Genomic DNA, 23,483 nt, shown 5'->3' with positions numbered 1-23,483 from the left:
CCTTCTCCCTCTCCTTGCCCCCTCCCATGCGTGTGCCTTCTGCAGGGACACTGGCCCCTGGAGAGCAAGTCGCAGCTTGTCAACTGGATTATTTATGTGTCAGCTCCGCTCTGGCTTAATTTCCTCCTGTTATTCCCAAGCCTTGAGTAAAGCCTTGCGTAGCAGGTTTAAGTTCCACTCTCCTGACACTCAGGTGTGCTAAGATGTAGCTTTTCTTTATTTCTCCCCAACTGCAGCATTAACTGGGATCTTGAGCCCCCGTTTCTGCTGATGGTCGACAACTTAAACTTGCCAAGTCAAGGTAACAGTCACTTCTGGTTTAAATCATGGTCACTTTTAGGCAAATGCTGTCTCTTCAGGATTCTCCCTCACTCATTCTTCCCAGGCATGAGCTGCAGCCCTGGGAGTGGGAGGCTGGGGGTGGGGGTAGGGGGCGGTGTGGGGCGTGGAGGAGAGGCTGGTCCTACACTGTCCTGGTATTGCGCAAGGGACATGTGTCCGCATGCTGCTATCTGCATCCTGGCCCTACCCACTGGGCCGAGTGGACTTGGACAAAGTGTGCCTGTCCCTCTTGGACTTGAACATGAAACCTGATGTTGTGGCTGGCTACAGCCTCTAGTCCAGAGGCCTTGCATGGTACTCCGCTACATGCCCCAGGCGGGCGCCCTTTGGTGCCATGGTGGCTTGGGTGCCCTTGGCTGCTCTCTCTACTGTGCTGGGGTGTGAGGACCTGGGCCACCCTTGCAATCGCTGCTGAGACACTGCATTTAGCCACAGCCACTTTACCGCCGCAGTGCCAGATGAAAAGTGGACCTCCTCTGTGCGATGTGCAGGCTTCCCTTGCTGCTGGCTGCCATGGCGTGAGGCTCCATCCCCTCTCCTCCCTGTTCCTGTGAACCTCTCTGGGGTTTTCATGCGTCTCCCGTCCCTGTGCGGGAAGAGTCCCAGGCCGGTTACAGGGCTCCCATGGGCACGTAGACCCTTCTACCAGCCAGCCATCCTCTTGAACTGGTGGAACCGTGATTCCCTCTCCCTGTGGCAGAAAAACTGCTCTCATTATCCCACCCCCATTCTTTATATTATGGTGTAAAATCAACGTTCCAAGTCCAAGGCATCTAAAAAATTAAGTTCAGAATTCCAAAGCACCTTCTTTGTTCACATTTGGAAGTCTATGGCTCCCGAGAGCAGCCAGTCTGTGATACATACAGAAGTCTTCCTGGGACCTTAACAACCTTTCTTTTTTCCTTTCTTTTATTTCTTTCTTCTTTTTTTTTGAGACGGAGTCTCATTCTGTCACCCAGGCTGGAGTGCAGTGGCGCGATCTCGGCTCACTGCAACCTCTGCCTCCCATGTTCAAGCAATTCTCCTGCCTCAGCCTCCCAAGTAGCTGGGATTACAGGCACCTGCCGCCACACCCGGCTAATTTTTGTATTTTTAGTAGAGATGGGGTTTCACCATGTTGGCCAGGCTGGTCTCGAACTCCTGACTTCAGGTGATCTGCCTGCCTTGGCCTCCCAAAGTGCTGGGATCACAGGTGTGAGCCACTGAAACTGGCCCCTTTCTCTTAGTAGACTAATATGTATTGAGCACTTCCAATGTGTCTGGCACTTTGCATGGGTTATCATGTTCAATCCTCACAAGTGCCCTGTTAGGATTTCCATTTTTCATATGATGAAACTGAGGCAAAGGGGGTTAAAGAAATTGCTGGATCATTTGCCTCTGGTGCCTTGGCTCACTTCCTTGAGGCCTCACCTCTGCTGCTTCCAGCTGTGGCCTTGGTGGACCATTCCGTGAGGGCTTTGACTCAACTCACACTGACAGCGTCTCACCCAAAGTGAGTACCAGTCATCTCTGCCTTTCATTTTCTGCCCCAGGGCTTCTCTGCTACTGCAGACACGGGAAGGGGGGTTTCCTTGTCAGGCAACACTCACATCCTGGAAAGGAGGCTTGTTCACTCATAGGTCTGCCAGTTGATGCTGGCTGTCCTTAAAGCCCTCAGCTGGGGCTGTTGGTCACATATTTACACACGACCTCTCTGTGTAGTTTGGGCTTTCTCACAGCATGGCGACTAGGTTCCAAAGGTCAGTGTCCCAAAAGAGAGCTCCTGGGCACCAAGCAGAAGCTGTTTGCATGTTGTGACTTAGCATCACAAACCACATGGCATCAGTTCCACCATATTCTATGGGTTGGAAGAGTCACCCACCCAGGTTCAAGGGGAGAGGAAAAAGACACCACCTCTTGAGGGAGTAAGGAGATCCTGGAAGAACATATGGGACCAGAAATATCACTGTGGCCATAATTGAGAAATACAGTGTATCACAACAGAGGTGTCTGGAGACAGAGTGGAAAAGATGTGGCTTAAACATGTTAAATACTTGAATTTGAGGCCAGGTGTGGTGGCTTATGCTTGTAATCCCAGCATTTCAGAAGGCCTAGGAGGGTAGATGGCTTGAGACCAGGAGTTTGAGACCAGTCCGGGCAATGTGGCAAAACCCCATCTCTATGAAAAATACAAAAAATTAGCTGGGCATGGTGTCAAGTACCTGTGGTCTCAGGTACTCAGGAGGCTGAGGTGGGAGGATCACTTGGGCCGTGGAGGTCGAAGCTGCAGTGAGCTGTGATCATGCCACTGCACTCCAGCCTGGGTGAAAGAGTGAGACCCTATCTCAAGAAGAAAAAAAATAATTGAAATAAATAAATAAAACTTGAATTCGGCTGGGTGCAGTGGCTCATGTCTGTAATCCCAGCACTTTGGGGGGCCGAGGCGGGAGGATCACTTGAGCTCAGGATTTTGAGACCAGCCTGGGCAACAAAGTGAGTCTCCATCTCTACAAAAAATTAAAAAATTAGTCAGGCGTGGTTGTGCACACCTGTAGTCCCAGCTACTCAGGAGGCTGAGATGGGAGGATAGCTTGAGTCAAGGAAGTGAAGGCTGCAGTGAGCCATGATCATGCCGCTGCACTCCAGCCCAGGTGACAGACTGAGACCCTTTCTCAAAAAAAGAAAAAAGAAAAGAAAAGCCCTCGAATTCCAGGGAACCAGCCCAAGGAACATCCAGTGCTTCTTTGGGTCCAGACACAATATAGGGGCTGCCCAGCCACCTTGATATAAGAGACACCAAGAGGACACTTACCCCATGTCCTGCAACCCAGGAAATGCTACTTTAGGGTTAGTCTTTGCCATAATTCAGGGATGACTAAGCTGGTAGAGTCACTCTCGCAGGTTTTCTGGAGGGCAGGCTCTTGGAGGTTCTGCAATGGGAATGCACCTTCCCTGCAACTCCACGGCTCTTGGTGGAGACCAAGGCAGACTGTTCCACTCCAGTGGGCTGCGTGTTCTGACACAGGTGAGCAGGGGCTTCTGGAAGCACACGGGAGAGGCACCTACCCCAATAGGGCCTGCTGTGTCGGCTTGGGTTGACGCCTTTTCTAGAGGAGGTGACATCTGAGCAGGATGGTGAATGACGAGTAGGAGTTGACCAGAATAGGAGGGGGTGGTGAAGAGGCTGGAGCATGAGGGAAGTGGTGAGGGGAAGGGAGAGAAGGATGGACGGAGTGCTGGGACCACATTTGCCAGGCCTGTCAGGGAACTGGGATTGATGGTTTGATTGGTTTTCCCTTCCCTTTGTCCAGGACATCAGGAAATGCCTAGATTTTGGTGTGTGGCGGTGGGCGGGTACGGGGCTAAGAATATATACCAGGTGGCTGTGGAAAGAGAGAGGTGGGTGGGGGAAGGAGAAGAGGGAGAAGGAGGACAAAGAAGGGAAAAGAGGAGGGAGAGAGGAAGGGGGGAAGAGAAAGGAGGAGAAAGAGAAGAAGAAGGGGGAAGACGAAAAAGAGGAAGGCCGGGCGCGGTGGCTCATACCTGTAATCCCAGCACTTTGGAAGGCCGAGGCAGGTGGATCACCTGAGGTCAGGAGTTTGAGACCAGCCTGGCTGACACGGTGAAACCTCGTCTCTACTAAAAATATAGAAAATTAGCCAGGTGTAGTGGGGTGTGCCTGTAATCCCAGCTACTTGGGAGGCTGAGGTGGGAGAATCACTTGGACCCGGGAGGCAGAGGCTGCAGTGAGCCAAGATCGTGCCACAGCACTCCAGCCTGGGCAACAGAGTGAGATCCTGTCTCAAAAAAAAAAAAAAAAAAAAAAAAAAAGAACAGAAGGAGAAAGAGGGAAAGAGGAGGGGGAAAAGCAAGAGAAGAATGAGAAAGTGGAGTAGGAAGAGAGAGGTAAAAGAAGAGGCTTCTAGGACAAAGGACTTTTTCATAATGTGGCCTTGAGCCAGCCTGGGCACCTTGACTAATCTGAAAGCCTTTGCTTTGGGGACCTTCCCTTGCCTGTTTATGTCCTGTAATTGCTCATTTATTCATCCATTCCATCCACAGGTACTTACTGTTTGGCCTCTACTTCCTTATATGTTAACTTAAGGTTTTCTTTGCATGTTTTTTCACTTTAACAAATAGATATTGGGATACAGCGTAACAAATACAAGTGAATCTACTGGCCAATGGAACAGCGTATTTGAGATCTGTAGTCCAGTGTGTTCACTGCTGCATTTTCCTTCCCTCCCTCCTTCCATCAGCCCACCCACTCTCACTTAGCAAGTTTTGGCTTGAGAGCTTGCTCCGTGCCGGGAATAGGACGTGGCAGTTCATGTGCTCAGTATCAGCTAGGATTAGCTTTGGCTGAGAGTAACCAAAAAACCCCACATGACATTGGTATGTCCAAGATAGCATTCACTTTATCCCTCGTGTTCAGAAGGTCCAGATTTAGGCAGTGCCAGGAAGCGCTGGCATTGTACAGGGTTAGGGACACCGGCTCCTTGTTGTCTGCCAGGTATGGCTTCTAACATGGTTGAAAACCATGTCTCAGCTACGTGCAGTGGCTCATACCTGTAATCCCAGCAGTTTGGGAGGCCAAGGTGGGAGGATCCTTTGAGCCCAGGGGTTCAAGACCAGCCTGGGCAACATTAGCGAGAGACTCCATCTCTAAAAAAAAATAAGCCAGGTGCGATGGCACATGCCTGTGGTCCAAGCTACTAGGGAGGCTGAGGTAGGAGGATCTTTTGAGCCCAGGAGGTCGAGGATACAGTGAACCATGGTCACACCACTGCATTCCGGCCTGGATGACAGAGCAGGATCCTGTCTCAAACAACAACAAATAAAATACCATATCTAGACTTTCTTTGACAGTCCTCCCAACCAGGTGGAGCCTAATTCTCCTCTGAATATGGACCAGACATTTCCAATGAATTGAATGAACCAGAGGTGATGCTGTGAGGCCAGGTTGGAAAAGGTGATATGGCTTTCACCTCTCTCTCTCTCTCACTCCTTCTCCCCCTCGCCCTCTCTCCCTCTCTCCCTCTCTCCCTCCCTCCCACATGTCTTTGAAGCACTGAGCTGCCATTTAAGAATTTGGCTACCCTGAAGCTGCCATGTTGGAGAGAGATGCCCAAGGTATCCCAGATATTCTATTCTGCACAATCCACTCCCCACCCCTGCCAGTCTTCACAGCCCAGCTGCCAGACACGTGACTCTGCCCCGACACACATTTCTGCCCCTTCTGGAGCCTGCTAAGCCCACCACCCCACTTGGAGACAGCCTTCTTTTTTTTTTTTTTTTTTTTTTTTGAGACGGAGTTTCATTCTCGCTCTGTTGCCCAGGCTGGAGTGCAGTGGCACGATCTCAGCTCACTGCAAGCTCCGCCTCCCAGGTTCACACCATTCTCCTGCCTCAGCCTCCCGACTAGCTGGGACTACAGGCGCCCGCCACCATGCCCGGCTAATTTTTTGTATTTTTAGTAGGGACGGGGTATCACCATGTTAGCCAGGATAGTCTCGATCTCCTGACCTCGTGATCCGCCCACCTTGGCCTCCCAAAGTGCTGGGATTACAGGCATGAGCCACCGCGCCCCTTCGGAGATAGCCTTCTTGAGGGTAGAGGTCTCCCTAGAGCCTGCAATGGGGCCCTCTGGGGTCCTGAGGACACCGACATGCCTGCTGCCTGGGTTGGCAGCTGCTCACCATCTTTGCACTATCTTCTTACTGACAGCCCCCAGGTGACTCAGAACGTGTGGTTGACGTGGAGCCACTCAATTTCCTGCCTCGCCTCTCCTCTGGCCTCCTGGCTTGCAACCAAGTCTTCCTATCTGGGGGGTTGAGGGTGCTGTGGCTTCACACTGGCTTTCTCAGCTCCTCCCTCTCCTGCAGGGACTAGGTTGGCGGATCAAGGGAGGAGGAACAGTGGCCCTCATCCCTTCCAGTGCAGTGGGAATGGCACTAGATTGGAGATCTAGGCTGTCATCCAGGCTCTGCCACTAACTGGCTCCTGAGACTTGGTAAATCCCTTTACCCCTGGTCACAGTTTTCTTATCTACAAAGCCTTCATAGATTGAGGCTTTGTAATGCTCTAGTACAGTCATGTGTCACTTAATGAAGGGGATATGTTCTGAAAAATGTTTGGTTAGGGGATTTCGTCATTGTATGAACATCATAGCATATATTTCTACGAGCCTATGTGGTATAGCTTACTACACACTTAGGCTACATGGTATAGCCTGTTGTTCCTAGGCTACAAACCTGTACAGCATGTACTGTACTGAATACTGCAGGTAATTGTTATACAGTGGTATTTGTGTATCTAAACATCTCTACACATAGAAAAGTTACAGTAAAAATACAGTATTATAATATTACGGGACCACTGTCGTATATACAATATGTTGTTGACTGGTACGTCATTATGTGGTGCATACTTGTATTTATTGAGTGTCCACACTATCCTGGGGTTAGGCTCTTTGGAGGATCCCAAAGAAATTATATCATTTAGTGATTTTTCCATTGTGAACCCAACCCAATTCAATATTAGCAAAAGGGGAAATTGATTGGTTTATGTTACTGAATGGTCCAGAGGTAACCTACTTCAGGTATGGCTTCATCTAGGGCTTAAATGATGCCACCAGCACCCATTATCTGCTCTGTTTCCTCTGGATGGGTTTCATGGTTACACACAGTAGTGGTTCCCTGCCCCCACCCCCCAACCCCATCCAGATTCCTGGAACTTCCAGCCCCCATTCCTGCCACCTGCCCACCCAATTGTAGCTGCTCTACTCTAGAACTCACATGCTGTACAACCAAACCCAGCCCAGAAGAGAGACCCTGTGTTCCAGCATTCCCATCAAGAATCCTGATATTCACTCTGATTGGACCAATTTGGTCATGTGTATCTTCCCTTTTGAATTAAGCCAATCTGGTTGATCCCTAGAGCTGGATGTGCAGCCAACTCCAACTCCCTAAACTGCCTGGCTGGGAGAGGGAGGAAATAGATACTGGCCACTTGTGTGTGTGTGTGTGTGTGTGTGTGCGTGTGTGTGTGTTAGGATGGGGGTGGCTTATTCTTAAAGATCTTACTCAGAAAGGAGGCTGAGGCAGGAGGATCACTTGAGCCCAGGAGGTCAAGGCTGCCATGAGGTGTGAATGTGTCATTATACTCCAGCCTGGTCAACAGAGAAAGACACTGTCTCGAAAAAAAAAAAAAAAAGCGAATTTATGATTTACACTCAGGATGCAGAAAGCATGACTTGAACGATCCTTCCTTGTGAAATTTGACAAAGGGAAAACTCCATGTGAGTTCAGGGGACAGGGAGGGCTTCTTGCAGAGGCAAGACTTGGATGCTGAGGAGAATTTAGGCAGAAAGAAGCCTGGGGTTGGGGTAGACGAGGACCTTTTTATGTGTGATCTGCAACCCTGCAGCTTCTCCCAGTCCCAGCACTATATCGATTGCAGTTTGAATAGGTTGTAATTGTGGAAGCAAAAACTTCAACAAAGGAATTTTCAGGGTATGCAATTCAGAACATATGTTGAAGTCCTAACCCCTCAGTGCCCCAGAATGTGACAGTATTTGGAAATGGGGTCTTTAAAGCGGTAATTAAGTTAAAATGAGGTCATATGGGTAAGCCCTAATCCAATATGGCTGGTGTCTTTATAAGAAGAGGAAATTAGGACACAGACACATACAGAGGGAAGACTGTGAAGATATACAGCCAGAAGACAGCCATCTACAAGCCAAAGAGAGAGGCCTCAGAAGGAACCAACCCTGCTGGCACCTTGATCTCAGACTTCCAGCCTCCAGAACTGTGAGAAGATAAAATTCCATTGTTTAAGCCCCCCAGTGCATGATACTTTGTTACAGGCAAAGCCCTGGGAAGCTGGTTTTCAAAAGTGACCATGAACCCCACCTTTCTTTGCCCTTTCCTGGGAGGCTGACTCTGCTCCTCACACAGACCGGCTATGCTCCCAGCAGGATGCCATGGTGAGGGGGTCTCTCCTACCCCCACCCCCGGTTATCCCATAGCTGACACCTTAACTGCAGGGGCTTCACCAGCAAAGCCCTCTTAGATACTGAAAAGTCATCTTCATCCTGAAGTTCCTTTTGGTCACTTGCTTCTCACTGTCTCTAAGAATTAAACCCTTGCCATCTCCTCACAGTGTATACTTTGGCAGAAGATGAAGCCAGATTCAGTTATTTTTCTTGAAATAGGAGATGGAATTTTCCCCAATGTAAAAAGAATGGTGCCCGATTCTTGTGGGAGGTGGACGGGGCTGGCGCTGGCACTGCAGGTCTTCCTTTCCCTCAGAAATAGCCCCACAATGGCCTCATTTTCTAAAACTTGCAACTCAGCAAGTACTTCAGCCTTTAGCAAGAAGAATCCACTCTGCTCAAGTTGAAAAGTGAGAGATCCATTTGTCAATGTAGGCAAGCAAGCACTCAAGTAGTGGAAATTGAAGAGTTCCCCCAGTGCCCGTCCACCGGCCTTGGGGTTCAGGCATATCACCTCGATGGATTCATGGTCAGAGACAGAGATGTACACGTGGGCTTTAGCTTCTCCTACACCTGATGGGGACGTTGAATAAAAAAGTGGGATATGGGGGTGCGGAAGGTAGATGGTGTTGGCAAGTAGCAAGTTTGGAGGGGGAGGGGAGGAGCCCTGGGAAGCCAGGGACAGTTGAAGGGACTGGGGACAGGCAGGAAAAGGCCTGGAGGGAAGGGAAGCATTTTTCTCATTGGCCACGGACAAGGTGATCCGAAGACCCTGGATGTGAGCAGGTTTTTTTTTTTTTTGAGATGGAGTTTTGCTCTGTCGCCCAGGCTGGAGTGCAGTGGGCATGATCACGGCTCACTGCAACCTCCACCTCCCGGGTTCAAGCAATTCTCCTGCCTCAGCCTCCCGAGTAGCTGGGACTACAGACACGTGCAACCACATCCGGCTAGTTTTTGTATTTTTAGTAGAGACGGTTTCACCACGTTGGCCAGGCTGGTCTCGAACTCCTGACCTCAGGTGATCCACCTGCCTTGGTCTCCTAAAGTGCTGGGATTACAGGCGAGAGCCACCGCGCCTGGCCAGCAGGTCTTATTATTGACTTGACCCTCATATAACAAGCCCTGCCGCCCTCCCCACAAGATCTCAGAGCAGACTTCAAGCCGACATATCTTGCCTTAAAATAACAGAGGAGGCCCAGGCTGTCTTTTGCCCTCATCCTGGGAGAAGGACCTGTAAGAACTAATTTTTTAACAGAGTGATAAAAGGTAAACAAATCAGCCTGTTTGGGGGGTGGGGGTGGGGGAGGAAAAGGGCAGTGAGAGCTTATGGGTAGTGGGGTGATTGTGAGTTGCTCTCTTTACAATGGGAACCGGAAAGATAATCTTTCTGGAGCATTGAGGGCTCCAGTTAGAATCTTCCTTCCCTGACAAGGGGTTTCCTTCCATTGTTGTGTGGTCTTGAGGCCCCCTTCCTTAGCTCTTGGGGGCAGGCAGTAACAGTGGAGGATATGTACCAAGGGTTGAAGAGTTGGAGGGGCTGAGCTGGAGATCTGGAGGAGGAGCCCTGGGCTTCACAGCCATCACGGGGGCCGGGGAAGCTGCAGGGCCTCTGAGAGGCATCTTTGAGATTTGGGGGCTCCTACCCTTCCTAACCCCTGCCCACTCTCACTCCCCAGCGTCTCTGCACATTTCCAAAGACCTCATTCAGACCCCGCTGCTCCTCCCTCCCTTCTTTCTTCCCCCTTCCTCTCTCCCTCCACCTCCTCTCCTCCCACCTCCTGCCTCTCCTGGTCCTGCCACTTCCTTGTTTATCCTACAGTCTGATGAGGGGAGAGAGCTGCCTGCCTCAGGAATAAGTTTCCTGGTAAATTAGCTGCCAGGATTGAAATCCATTTTGATTCTGCCCATTATTAAGTATTGTTATTTCTGCTGTTCATTACCAGCTTGTTTCCTTGATCAACTCTTGGGAACAAAGGCTCTTCAAAGCATTTCCCACAGGGGAACCTGTGTGGCCATCACCACTGTGCCCCAGTCTAAAGTAACCCGCACTGACTACCGTGCCACGTGGAGCTCTTCAGGGCCCAAGCAAGGAGCAAGGTCTTTTCCTTGCTGGCTTGGGAGAAGGCACAGGGCAGGCCAGATGATGCCAGGCTGAGGGCCTCCCACTCTCCACCTTGACACCCTCCCAAGGCTGCCACCCTGTCTAGAGAAGCCACACTAGGAAACCCATTCTTACTGTTTTTTTTTAGGTGGGGGAGGGGCTGAGAAAATAACTTTATTTCATTGTGGGGAGCGGGCAGACATCCAGCCTCAGAACTTCTGGAACTGCTTCTTGGTGCCCGGTGGTCTTGGTGACCTTGAGCACGTTGAAGCGTACCATCTTGCTCAGGGGCCAGCACTCGCCCACTGTGATGATGTCGCTGATCTGGATGTCCCTGAAGCAGGGGGACAGGTTTACGGACATGTTCTTGTGGTGCTTCTCAAGGTGGTTGTACTTGCAGGTGTAGTGGAGATAGTCTCGGCAGATGACAGTCCTCTGCATCTTCATCTTGGTCACCATGCCAAAGAGGATCCGCCCTCGAATGGAGGCATTACCAGTGAAGGGGCATTTCTTGTCAATGTAGGTGCCCTCAATCGCCTCTTCAGGTGTCTTGAAGCCCAGATTGATGTTCTGTAGTACTGCAGGAGCTTCTTGCCAGTTTCTCCCAGCAGGAGCTTCTTCTTGTTTTGAAAGATGGTCGGCTGCTTTTGGTAGGCTCACTCCGTCTGTAATTCATACTCAGATCTAAGCCGGGGGTTATTTCAATTTATATGCTCTAGAAGGCCTCCCAGGGCCTGCAGAATTCATCCTCTAAACCAGAATCACCCCTCTCACACCCCAGACACCTTTCAGCGAGGATCATTCTCCAAGACCCAAGGTCACCCACCCAGGATTCACTCCTTATGTAACTCATAAGGATTCAGAATTAAATACCAAAACCGCAGGCTCCTTGGATTTGCCCTTAGGAGTCAGTTTCCACAGGATTAACCCTTAAGACTGGAGAACTCCAAAAATACCTTCTTAAATGTGGATTTTAAGATGGTAACTCCTAAAATGCTGGAGCCTCCACTAAAGTGCGGAGCCCCCAGGATTTAGGAAGCACTCATCTAGATACACCCAAAAGCATGCACCCTCCGCCCCAGTTAATCCCTAGGAAATCACCAACGCCTGGAATTAACTCCCGAAATTGGGCGCTGGGCCCTGCCCTCCCAGACGTGCCCCTGAGGCCCGAGGTGGACCCCGCAGCCTGGGCTCCAGCCCCAAGCCTGCACCTGAATTCCATTCTTACTTTTAATGTTGTACTTGAAAAACAGTTAAGCTATAAGCACAGTAAAGTCCACCAATCTTAAGTGTACAAGTCTATGACTCTTTACATATGTGCAGACCCACAGTCACCCAGGTTGACATAGAGACTATTTCTAGCACCTGTCCCAGAAGCTCCCTTGTGTCCCCTCCCACTTTCTATCCCCCCAAAGGTAACCATTATTTTGACTTGTAACAACATAGACTTGATTTGTCTGTTTTTTTGGAGACAGGGTCACCTGGGCTGGAGTGCAGTGGTGTGGTGGTGCAATCGCAGCTCACTGCAGCCTCGACTTTCTGGGCTCAAGCCATCCTCCTGCCTGACTCTCCTGAGTAGCTGGGACTACAGACTCGTGCCACCATGCCTGGCTAATTTTTTTTTTTTTTTTTTTTTAATAGAGACACAGTCTCACTATGTTGCCCAAGCTGGTCTCAAACTCCTGGGCTCAAGTGATCCTTCCATCTTGGCCTCCCAAAGTGCTGGGATTATAGGTGTGAACCATCACGCCCAGCTGATTTATCTGTTTTTGAACCTCAAATAAATAGAATCATACAACACATATTCTCGTGAATTTGGTTTCTTTTGCTCAATATCATCTGGGATATTCATCCATGTTGTTATATGTAGCAGTAATTTGTTCTTTTTCAATGCTGTATAGTGTGTTATTGTATGAGTATACCATGATTAGTTTATCTGCTCTCCCGTTGACAGGCATTTAGGTTGTTTCCAGTTTCAGGCTGTTGTGAATAAAGCTGCTACGTGCATTTGCATGCAGGGCTTTTGGTGCGCACAAGCACTTGTTTCTCTCGGCTGTATATCTTGAAATACAATTGCTGGGTCATAGGATATTCAATAAAGCCATGCCTGATTTCTCAAAGCGCAAGCAAAAAGAGGGCAATGGTCTGAAAGATAAATGATGATATTTCGGTCATTATGTGGGAGGGGAGATGCTTTAACTCGTGTGTGTGGTAGGTGGTTACAAATATGGCCCCCAAATGAGTTATACGTCCTGATATCCACATCCATGGGTAGTCCCTTCTCATGTTGAGTTTAGCCTCATGACTTTCTTTGGCCAATGGAACATCAGCAATGGCATGTAAAAGAAGAACATCACAAAAGCGCGATGCAGCATGATTTGACAAGCACTTGAGTGTTGAGGCTTGCCTACTGCTATAGTCTGAACATTGGTGCCCCTCCAAAATTCATATGTTGAAACTGAATCCCCAGTGTGATGGTATTAAGAGGTGGGGTATTTGGGAGGTGATTAGGTCACAAAGGTTCCACTCCCATAAATGGGATGAGTGCTTTTATAAAAGAGGCTTGAGGGAGCCTGTTTGTCCCTTCTGCCACGTGAGGACTCAGGGTAAAGGCACTATCTCTGAAGCAGAGAACCCTCACCAGACATGGAATCTGCTGATGCCTTGATCTTGGACTTCCCAGCCTCTAGAACTGTGACCACTAAATTTCTGTTGTTTGTAAATTACCCAGTCTAAGGGATTTTGTTATAGAAACCAGAACAGACTAAGTCAGTACTACCGTTACCAACCAACGTGTCCTTTCAGGCATCACTTCCACTCTTTGAGCCCTCTTCCTTTGTTGCAACCCATACATGGGGGCAATTATAGTGGTCCTGACTTCACAGAGCAGTTGTGAGACTGCTGAATAATGCTGGTGAAAGCTGTTTGAGCCGGGTAAAGCATTGTGCAAGTGCAAGGCAATGTGGTGCTGTTATCTACAGGAACTGCCATCGACAGGAATTGTTTTACTTTGGGGTAACGGGTTTTGAGTTTTTCCAGGTTGCTTTGCTTTCTGGTCTCTCTCCTTAGCAGTCCACATAAATTTGGAGTGTTCAGGAGTGACAGTGGTCTCTGGAAGCTTTTTCTCACCATCTCCATCTACAGGGGCTATTGTCTTTACACGAGGCTAGTGGCTTGTTTCAGGAAGAACAGTTTGAGAGTTGGTCGCCTTCCCACATGAAACTGAATCATATTTGTATGTACCACCAAAGCTGCTTTTACATTCAATTTCCTCATGTGTGGAACCAGCGGTGGGTTCTTAATTGACTGCCTGAGGGCAGGCTTTAGGAGGCTTTGTGATTATGTGTAAAGTTCTGTGGAAGTGAGTGCACGCATGTGGACATACCCTATGTGTCCACACATGTGTCTGTCTTGTTCTGTGAAGAGAGGCCTTAGGGTCCATCAGATCATCACAAGTGGACTCTGGGAGATTTAAAAACCTTCAGGATTAGGTCTTCAATGTGAGACGGGGATTTTATGACACCAGCAAGAAGCTCTTGGTGTTAAGAACTATTGTTTTAAAAAGGAAAACGACCCAATGTAGCTACTACAGCTAGACTCACAGCGATGCAGAAGTGTCAGCAGGTGTGTGCAAGGCTATGTCCCTGTCAGAATGGATGTTCCTCCCTCCTGGCGGATCCAGATGTGGGGACTTCACGCCAAGCTGGAGACGTGTTTTGGTAAAAAGGTAGTTGCACTCCCATGTTATGTTAAAAAGTATAGACACTACAGAGGGAGGATTATTTTATTCCCTTTTTTCTTTCTTTCAAAGACTCAATTTCCCCTCCCTTTTTAAGGTACAAACACCAACCTCACATTAGGGGCAGAAGCGTTGAGCATTCAAAGTTAAACTGGGAATTTTGACTCAATGGACCTTGACAAACAAACAGCTCCAATGGAACTCTTCCAACAATGGCTGCTCTTTTACTTTTATTTTTATTTTTTAAAGTAATGCCAGTGATGGAAGGGGGCGTGTGAAATTAAACAAATGATTTCTCAGTAAACGCTTTGCTGAGAATTATCTGTCAGGGGCAACCCACACACAATCTATAATAAAGAGGATAGATTTAGGGACCGAGTTCCTCAGCGTACTTTGGAGTCCCTGCTCACAGTATGAGCCTGTGAATGCAGAAACAGAATAGACTTGTGCAGCGGCGTTGACTCTGGGTTGCATAACATGAGGGAGATTGGGCTGATCAAGCGCGCATAACTGATCCTGCAGGGAGATGCTGCTTGGTGATTGTTGTGGCGGAGAAAGAATTTTATCCTGAGATGAATGGTGCTTCCCTATTCAGGGACTGTTCCACCTGGGGGTGGGGGCATTTGGAAATAGGGGTGCATTTTTGGCTGTCACAATGACTAGAGGGTGCTACTGGAGTTTAGCAGGCAGGGGGCCAAGGACAATTAACATCCAACAATGGGGGAGGGACTGTCCCACACAATGGGGATTTGTCCAGGCCCAAATATGAATAGTGCTCCCATTGACAAACATGGCTCATCGCTGCAAAGAAAGTTCCAGGTGTCTTTTCTAAAGAACCAATTGGTTCATTAGAGACTAAGAATGGTTTTTCAAGGTGACCCAAGGGATTGGGGCAGGGATTACTTAGCGTAAGAGAGCTGGAGAACTTATCGAAATCCTGTGCATCCTGCAGCCCAACAAGGCTGGAGAGGAGATGCCCGGGCACCTGCTTTAGGTCTGGCAGAGGCCACCTGGAGGGAGATGTGAGGGTCAAAGGGGAGGGGAGGGTTGTGTTGCTGGGTAAGGCAGCCAGTTACCACAAATGGAGAGTGAGAAACAGGGCCCACGGGTGGCAATAGCCCCCCCAAAAGTGACACAGCTGGAAAGTCAGAGGAGCGTGAATGCCCATGACAGGGGATTTAGTATGGGGCACAATCAAGGGGTTGCCCCAGAGGAAAAGGCAGAGGAGACCTTTCTGGAGGCCAGGCGGGCCTTGACTAGACAGAAAAGGGGTCTTCTGCTGACTTTATTCTCTTCCACCCCCTGCTTCCTCATGGGAAGAACCTGGCCTCTGGCTCCGCTGGTACCCTGGGGGAGCCCAGGGCAGTGAGGAGGACTTGGCAAAGCCGCAAGCACCTTGTCATGATCCTGTCCCCTCCTGGCTGTGGGAGTTGCCTCTGGAAAGTGGGTCCTCCATGCGTAGGAGGCACCAGGGCATCCCAAAAGCTGCACCATTTAGCCATCCCACAAAAGGAGAGGCAAGAGGATGTTGCAAGCCCAGCCAACTGTTATTGTCTGCTTCCTGCTCATCCTGTGTCCCACAGCTCTGTGGCTGGGCCAGGCCAAGGGACTTTAAAAGCAGGTATTGAGGTCAGCCCTTAGCCAGCGTTTTGTCTTCTGCTAATCTGTGGTTTGCAAGGCAAAGGCGGGAGATGACAGTGGCAGGGACAGATCTGAAGCGCCTGCAGAGGGAGAGGGAGCTGACTTTCCACAGGGGCTGGGGGAGGGGACCTGGCCCAGCTGCTGACATTTTTACAAAACAAATAAGTGTGAGGCTGTGCTGGTGACCTCAGTGTGATGGAAAAAGATGGTCAGCGGCGTGTCTGCCGGAAATGGCGTGTTTCTCAGCCCACCTGTTAGGAAGCAGAAAGGCAGATGTTGAGTCATATCATTCCAGCAAACAGTTATCAAGTGCCGACTGCATGCCTGGCATGGCCCCATGCATTTGATGTGGGTTAGCATATTTAATCCTCCCAGCCATCCCAGATGGAGGGCTCCAGTATGGTTTCCAGTTCAGAGATGAGGAAACTGAGGCAGAGGTGTTGGTTTCCCCATCCAAGGCTGGACAGCTAAGAAGTGGTGGGAAAGGGGTGTGAATCCTGGCAGGCTGGCCCCAGAGTCTGTGGCGTGAGCACCAGCACCTAGGCTGGCTGCCAGGAGCCTCAAAACAGGTCCTGTGAAGGAGGATTTTTGTGTACCTTGTGTGTGTGCGTGTGCCCACGCAATTGTGTTTTGGCCTGTGTTCCAGTTATCTATTGCTGCATAATGAATCACTCCAAAACGTAGTGACAAAAAACACGACTACCATGTTATTATTATCTCTCACTCTTCTGGGGGTTGACTGCTCTTAGCTAGTTTTTTTTTCTCTCTGTCTCTGTTTTTGTCTGTCTGTATCTTTGTCTCTCTCTCTCTCTCTCTTTCTCTGTCTCATGCAGTTGCCTCCAGACTATACCTGGGGCTGAAGTCATATATTTTTTAAACTTTTATTTTTATTTTTTAATTTTTTTTTGAGAAAGAGTCTCGCTCTGTCACCCAGGTTGGAGTGCAATGGTGTGATCCCGGCTCACTGCAACCTCCACCTCCTGGGTTCAAGCGATTCACCTGCCTCAGCCTCTCTAGTAGCTGGGATTACAGGCACCCACCACCACACCCAGCCAATTTTTGTATTTTTAGTAGAGATGGAGTTTCGCCGTGCTGGCCAGGCTGGTCTTGAACTCCTGGCCTCAAGTGATCCACCTGCCTTGGCCTCCTTAAGTGCTGGGATTACAGGTGTAAGCAACTGCACCTGGCTTCTTTCTTTCTTTCTTTCTTTCTTTCTTTCTTTCTTTCTTTCTTTCTTTCTTTCTTTCTTTCTTTCTTTTTCTCTCTCTCTCTTTCCTTCCTTCCTTCCTTCTTTTTTATTTTATTTTCTTTTTTTTTTTTTGAGACAGAGTCTCCCTCTGTCGCCCAGGCTAGAGTGCAGTGGCGTGATCTTGGCTCATTGCAGCTCCCACCTCCTGGGTTCAAGCGATTCTCCTGCCTCAGCCTCTCGAGTAGCTGGGACTACAGGCACCTGCCACCATGCCCAGCTAATTTTTGTATTTTTAGTAGAGACGGGGTTTCACCATGTTGGCCAGGCTGGTCGTCTCAAACTCCTGACCTCAAGTGATCCGCCCGCCTCTGCCTCCCAAAGTGCTAGAATTACAGGCATGAACCACTGCACCCGGCCTTTTTCTTTTATTATTTTTAAATCTGCGAGGGCCTCAACTCTCTGTGAATGAAGTCCAAATTTATTCTGGAGTCACTTCCATTGACAATAAGACTCTAAATGAGTAAGGACACAGAGCCTTGCCTAATGGCCTCTGTTCTGCCCCCATCAGAGTTTCCCTGCTGGGCCAGGCATTGAACTGGGACTTGGGGCTACACAACTCCTGCTCCTGGGCAAGACAGCAACTACCAGCCATGGGAACAACATTCTCCCAAACCCCTGTCCTGCAGAAATGTTGCCTCTGGTTTCTATAAGCTTTACTGGGAGGAGGCCCTAAGCACAGGCAGGGAGACAGTGGGATTATCAGACGTTGAGAGGGTCATGGCCCTGAACTGTTCTCCCCATCCTGGTGTGAACCTGGCCTTGTCTTTCTTGGTACTTCATTGCTATGGGTTGAACTGTGCCCCACACCCCATTCATCTATGGAAGCCCTAACTCCCAGGACCTCAGAATGTGGCTATATTTAGAGTTAGGGCCTTTAAAGAGGTGATTAAGTTAAAATGAGGCCATTAGGGTGGGCTTAATCCAATACAACTGGTGTCCCTAGAAGAAAATGTGGACCCACGAGAGACACTGGCAGGGTATACGCATAGAGGAAAGACCGTGTGAAGACACAGCAATAAGGTGGCCGTGTGCAAGCCAAGGAGAGAGGCCTCAGGGGAAACCAAACCTTGATCTTGGACTTCCAGCCATCAGAACTGTGAGAACATAAATATCCGTTGTTTAAGCCACTCAGCTTGTGGTCTTCTGTTGCAGCAGCCTGAGGAGACTGATACATTCGTCCTGCATCCCTGTGACAGAATCTTCCTTTAGGTGAGGTGACCAAGGTGGGCCCAGGCCTCCAGAAGTCACTTCCTAATTACCTAGGAAGGGGAGGGAGAACCTCTCCCCATCCTGTCCTGGCAGCACAGAAGGCTGCTTTGATTTGATTAACTGATGGTCACCCACGGGACCCTGGACTTGCCAGTGAAGGGTCAGCTCAGGATAGGCAGGAGGCTGGCACAAAGTGTCAGCCTCTCTGGGAGCAGGCGAACACCAGGCAGCCCTCAGCCTGGCCCCAGAGGGGTTGTGGTCTGTGGGTGTCCCCAGGCCTTGTCTGACTCACACAGCTCCCTAAATGTCCCAGGTCTGCCCCTGGGGGTGTGCAGTTTGGCTCCAGCTCTGTCAACACTCTGGACTTGATGTAGGTACTGAGTGACTGGAAAAGCAGCCCTGACTGCAGCCACCCAAAGCCCAGCCCACTCCTGGGTGCAGGGCGGGCAGCCCTTCCTCCTCCCTGGACTCTGTTTCCACCACACATGAATCCTGGGCCTGCCTGGCCCCGACGCATTTTTTATTTTGCTATCTATATTCTTTCCATTGTCCTGATGTAAATAATTTAAACTGACATAGAAAGAAAGGGCAGGCCTTGCTACAAAATGGAGGCTGTCAACTCCCCGAACCTCCATTTCTTTTCGCCTCCTGTGCTCATCTCTTCCCTGTTCTGTTCGATTTGCCTCGTTCTAGAACCTTTCTCTAGTGCTCTCTTGTTTTTTTGTTTTTTTTTTTTTTTTTTTTGAGAAAGAGTCTCACTGTGTCGCCCAGGCTGGAGTGCAGTGGCGTGACCTCGGTTCACCGCAACCTCTGCCTCACGGGTTCAAGCGATTCTCCTGCCTTAGCCTCCCGAGTAGCTGGGATTACAGGCACACGCCACTATACCTGGCTAATTTTCATATTTTTAGTAGAGACAGGGTTTCACCATGCTGGGCAGGCTGGTCTCAAACTCCTGACCTCAGGTGATCCGCCCACCTCGGCCTCCCAAAGTGCTGGGATTACAGGCATGAGCCACCGTGCCCGGCCTCTAGTGCTCTCTAGCTCCACACACATGCATGCATGCACATGAACACGCCACACACGTGCACACACACACCCTTCTCCCCCTCCCCCCAGGTGTCAGTGAGCAGAGTGTGTGTGACATTGTGTGTCTGTCTCTGGGATACAGTTTCTCTCTCTTGGTGTGAATTGCCTGTCTCGTCTGCATTTCTCATTCTGTTTCTCATCTCCCTACTTTCCTTTGCCTCTCTCTGCTGTTTGCATATGTGAGGGAAAGAGCTGCTTCATTTGTGAAGTGGCCTTATTCCATGGCCTCATTATGCAATCACACAGCATGGAGCTCTCTTGGGGGTTAAGTGGGGAAGGCAGAAGACAGGGCCAGGGAGAATTCATCATCTTTCCCCCGGAAAGCTGTGCATTTTCAGAAGATATAAGGGACAAGTTTGGGGTTCACAGACCCTCAGGGGCTTTTGTGCGTCACCTGGACCTTCTGTGATCGGTACATGGAGCTGCAGCTGGCCACTGGCATTGTCTGGAGAGCAGCCCTGGCCTCTCTCAGCCTTGAACCAGGAAGCAGGCTTTATTTGTCAGGAGAGGGCATAGCCAGGATTTCCTGAAGGTTCTGGCCTCCAGCCTGCAACCCGGCACTGTCCAATAGAAATATAATGCAAGCCACAAATGTGAGCCACATATGTATTAATAATTTTAATGTTCGAGAAGCCACATTAAAAAGGTAAAAAGGAACAGGTGAAATTGACTTAATCATATATTTTGATCAACCCGATGTATCTAAAATATTATCATTTCAATATGAAACCAGGAAAAAATTATTGACAAGGTATTTGACATTCTTTTCTTGAAACTAAATCTTCAAAGTCTGGTGTGCATTCTATGCTGACAGAGGATCTCAATTTGGCCGGGCCACATTTCAAGTGTTCAGTAGAAACATGTGGCTAGTGGCCCCTGTCCTGGACAGCACAGGCCCAGCCTACCAAGCCTGAGGTCTGGAAGTTCTGTTTCGGCTGTCTAAATGGCAGCAATACAAGCGCGTCCTCAGTGTGTATGTCTGATGGGAAGACGACGAGGTGATGTGCGGGAAGTTCACTGAGCCATTATTCTCCCATTACCATCATTAGCAGTAATCATCATGAATGCACTGGCATGGCCCACGTCCGGCCCTGTTGCTGCTTGCTTCCAGTTCACGCGGCATTCTGTGCCGGGGAATTGCTGACCCAGATTCTGTTTTGCTGGGGGGGCAGAGGGAGCTGAGGGTGCAGTTTCCAGGTGCTCTAGGCCTGCCTCCCAGCTGAGACCCCACCTACTAGGTGTGTGCTCCTCCCCTTTCTTTAGGTACCAGGCACCCCTCCAGCTTCTATATATAGCACTCTGTGGCGACAGCTGGCTATCTGATGACTCATCAGTCACCGTGGGCGTCTCCGGATGGAACCCTGAACATTTATTCAGAGGGTGCTTTTGCCAGTTTCTGAACGACTCCTAGTAAGTCCTGCCTTTTGGGGATTGTTTTAACCCCATGGAGATTGGGGGTTTGAAGACTCAGTGGGTTCCTGTCTGAAGGCCTCTGGGGGCTTAAAAAGTCCAGTGGGGCTTTGGGGAACTGGCTCCAGGTAAGCCTGTGAACGCAGAGGAATGCATTCTCAAACTGAGGGCTTGAGTGGTCTCTCCTTGGTCATCTGTCCATCTAAGTACCTGGCTGGCCCCAGATTGCCCCTGGAAGTGGGGCTTGGGAGATGTTAGCTCCTTTCAGGAGCTGCAGGGCTCCTCCCATGTATTTTCTGTGGGGCATCAAAGACCCAGGGCTGGCTTTGGAGCTGGGTTTAATGTAGGCTGCTCTGCTCACCAACTCCACCATCCTGGGCAAGTCCCTTCTGCTCTCTGGGTTTCCGTTTCCTCCTCTGTGCAATGCAGTCAATACCATTGTGGCCGTCTGGTTCTGAGGGTTGGAGGAGGTGCCGTCTGTAACAACTGTTATTACTGTGCAGCCCAGGGGCCCCATCACTTCGGTTTTCTCAGAAGCAGCTTCTGAGACGCGGATTCGTGTGGAAGCAATTTATTAAGGAAGTGCTCCCAAGAAACACGGAAGGGTATGGAAGGGCAGGACCAAGAAGGGGAGGAAGCCAGTTTCAGACAAAGTCCCTCTGCAGAAGGGTCTTAGTCCATCCAGGCTGCTGTAACACGGTACCACACGCGGGGGGGCTGATAAACCACAGACACGTACTTCTCATGGTTCTGGAGGCTGAGAGGCCGAGATCAGGGTACCAGCACGGTCGGGTTTGGGGGAGGGCCCTCTTCTGGGCTGTAGATTGCCAACTTTTCCTTGTGCCCTCACATGGCAGAGACAGGGAGAGAGAGCTCTCTGGGGTCGCTTTTTATAAGGGCACTGACCCCCTTCATGAGGGCTCCATCCTCATGACCTCATGACCTCCCAAAGGAGGAGCTCTGGAGGGCAAGTGTCAACTCAGAGCCTGTCCTGACTCCAGGCAAGAGCACTGTACCTGCATGCTCCCTTGCACCAGCTAGGAGCTACCGTGAGTGTGGGGATTGAAACTCCTGGGTACTTCTGGCTCTGAGGGGGATGTGCCCCGGGCGGGCCTGCAAAGAGTCCCAGGCACAGGCTGTGGGAATTAGGAGAGGGGAAGCTATATGGGGTGGGGGAAGGAGCCCGAGGGGATGTGGGTGAAGCATCTAGAGTGTCCCCACCACCCCTTTGCTTATCTGTCCTCCCACCAGAGGGGGCCAGGCCAGCACCCCTGTATGGATGGGACTGGGGCCGGGGAAGGAGGCTGGAGTCAGGAGGAGAGGCACCACCCAGGCCTTACTCTTCATATGGGTGGAACCATCCCATGAACAAGTGGGATGAGGAAGCCTGAGGAGCTTTTGGCCAAGCTTAGCCTCTGGGGGTGCCCAACACTGGGCACGGATAGGGCTGGGGCACAGACCCAATATTCCAGTACCTCCAAGTCTTTTGTCCGGCACCCAGGCTAGGGGCCCTGAAGATGCTTCACTGTCCAGCGGGATGGGGTTGGGGAAATATTTTTGTTCTCTTCAGCTCAGTAGCCTTCTTCCTTCCTTTCATCACCTTGTCTAAGACTGGCCGGGTCTTTTCTCAAGGTCACCCCAGGAACCAGGGTTCCTTGGGTTCTGTCGCCAGCTCTGGGCACCTCTCCACCATGGGCCACCTGGCTCTTTCATTTTCTTACTTCCAACTTCCACCTTCTCTTCTGCAGCATTGAGCTGCTTTTCTCAGCCTCTCTGGACTTAAAGCAACTTGGCCCAAAGGCTGCCAGTTGCCCTTTCTCAACCCTCCAATGCTTCTGTGCCCTCTACCAGGGATGGGGCTGTGGAATCCAGAGCACACCCGGTTGCCTTCCCTAAATTTCCATTCACCAGCAAAGATGAGTTTATTTTCCACTGTCAGGAATTCAGAGTTTGAATGATTTTACCACTGCTCTGTTCTTGGTGCAGCTGGGATTCTATTTATCACTGGGTTAGGAATTTCACTTCCTGCCTTTTCCATCCCAGAAGAATTCTCTCCCCTCCCCTCCCTTCCTCTTCTCTCTTTCCCCCTTCTCTCCTTTCCTCTTTTCCCTTCTCCTCTGCCTGCTTTTCCATCCCTCTCCCCTTCTCCTCTCCTTCCCCACCCTCCTCTTCCCCCCTTTCCATTTTGTTCCCCTTCTCCATTCTCTCCCTTTTTTCTTCCCCCCTCTCCCCTGCCCTTTTCTGTCTCCTCTCCTTTCTCCCCTTCCCTTTTTCTCTCTTCCCCCTCCTCTCCCTCTCCCGCCCCTCCCCCACATACTGTTTTGCTGTCCTCAGGGTGACGGTGACTTAGGCCAGCCCTGGGGATGGGTGGGAGAGCAGCTGAGAATCCAAAGGCAGGAGAGTGCACAAAAAAGAGATATGTCGACAAGTGGCTAGGGACCATGTTCCTGCTTTAGCTACGCACTGTGTCAAGCGCTGAAAGTCACTACACAGGCAGTCATTATTATGATTTTTACCTTACAAAAAATGCTTCACCCAGGGCATGGCATCTACTTGGTATTCAGTAGCAGTCAAATTGGAAAAAGGAGGCTTTCAAAGAGTCATTAAGACAAACACTGTTTGAAAATTATACAGAAATTCTATTTAGCTATTTGAAAATGAAAGAGTATTATACTGTCTTTGTAAAAATGCTTTTTTTCCAGTTGCTCACTGATTTTTTTCCCCCCAGTTG

The 23,483-nt window shown here is 49.9% G+C and overlaps 1 pseudogene, besides 7 other annotated features; it reads right to left on the bottom strand.

The window, feature by feature from the left end:
• Positions 232 to 731: an enhancer, noted in NCBI's record as "H3K4me1 hESC enhancer chrX:39735039-39735538 (GRCh37/hg19 assembly coordinates)". NCBI's record gives its function as "activates a minimal SCP1, AML or CMV promoter by ChIP-STARR-seq in primed H9 embryonic stem cells {active_cell/tissue: H9 hESC(primed)}" and the evidence as "EXISTENCE:reporter gene assay evidence [ECO:0000049][PMID:30033119]".
• Positions 732 to 1,233: an enhancer, noted in NCBI's record as "H3K4me1 hESC enhancer chrX:39734537-39735038 (GRCh37/hg19 assembly coordinates)". NCBI's record gives its function as "activates a minimal SCP1, AML or CMV promoter by ChIP-STARR-seq in naive H9 embryonic stem cells {active_cell/tissue: H9 hESC(naive)}" and the evidence as "EXISTENCE:reporter gene assay evidence [ECO:0000049][PMID:30033119]".
• Positions 1,705 to 2,004: an enhancer, noted in NCBI's record as "active region_29531". NCBI's record gives its function as "activates an Ori minimal core promoter by ATAC-STARR-seq in GM12878 lymphoblastoid cells {active_cell/tissue: GM12878}" and the evidence as "EXISTENCE:reporter gene assay evidence [ECO:0000049][PMID:35858748]".
• On the bottom strand, positions 10,575 to 11,086 carry RPS11P7 (ribosomal protein S11 pseudogene 7; annotated as a pseudogene).
• Positions 18,087 to 18,587: an enhancer, noted in NCBI's record as "H3K4me1 hESC enhancer chrX:39717183-39717683 (GRCh37/hg19 assembly coordinates)". NCBI's record gives its function as "activates a minimal SCP1, AML or CMV promoter by ChIP-STARR-seq in primed H9 embryonic stem cells {active_cell/tissue: H9 hESC(primed)}" and the evidence as "EXISTENCE:reporter gene assay evidence [ECO:0000049][PMID:30033119]".
• Positions 20,689 to 20,768: an enhancer, noted in NCBI's record as "active region_29530". NCBI's record gives its function as "activates an Ori minimal core promoter by ATAC-STARR-seq in GM12878 lymphoblastoid cells {active_cell/tissue: GM12878}" and the evidence as "EXISTENCE:reporter gene assay evidence [ECO:0000049][PMID:35858748]".
• Positions 21,039 to 21,158: an enhancer, noted in NCBI's record as "active region_29529". NCBI's record gives its function as "activates an Ori minimal core promoter by ATAC-STARR-seq in GM12878 lymphoblastoid cells {active_cell/tissue: GM12878}" and the evidence as "EXISTENCE:reporter gene assay evidence [ECO:0000049][PMID:35858748]".
• Positions 22,907 to 23,201: an enhancer, noted in NCBI's record as "tiled region #12649; HepG2 Activating non-DNase unmatched - State 24:Quies, and K562 Activating DNase matched - State 6:EnhF". NCBI's record gives its function as "activates a minimal TATA promoter and a strong SV40 promoter by Sharpr-MPRA in HepG2 and K562 cells {active_cell/tissue: HepG2 | K562}" and the evidence as "EXISTENCE:reporter gene assay evidence [ECO:0000049][PMID:27701403]".

This window comes from Homo sapiens, chromosome X (assembly GCF_000001405.40).
Source record: "Homo sapiens chromosome X, GRCh38.p14 Primary Assembly".
Classification (NCBI taxonomy): domain Eukaryota; kingdom Metazoa; phylum Chordata; class Mammalia; order Primates; family Hominidae; genus Homo; species Homo sapiens.
This window is presented reverse-complemented; position numbering and strand designations above follow the sequence as displayed.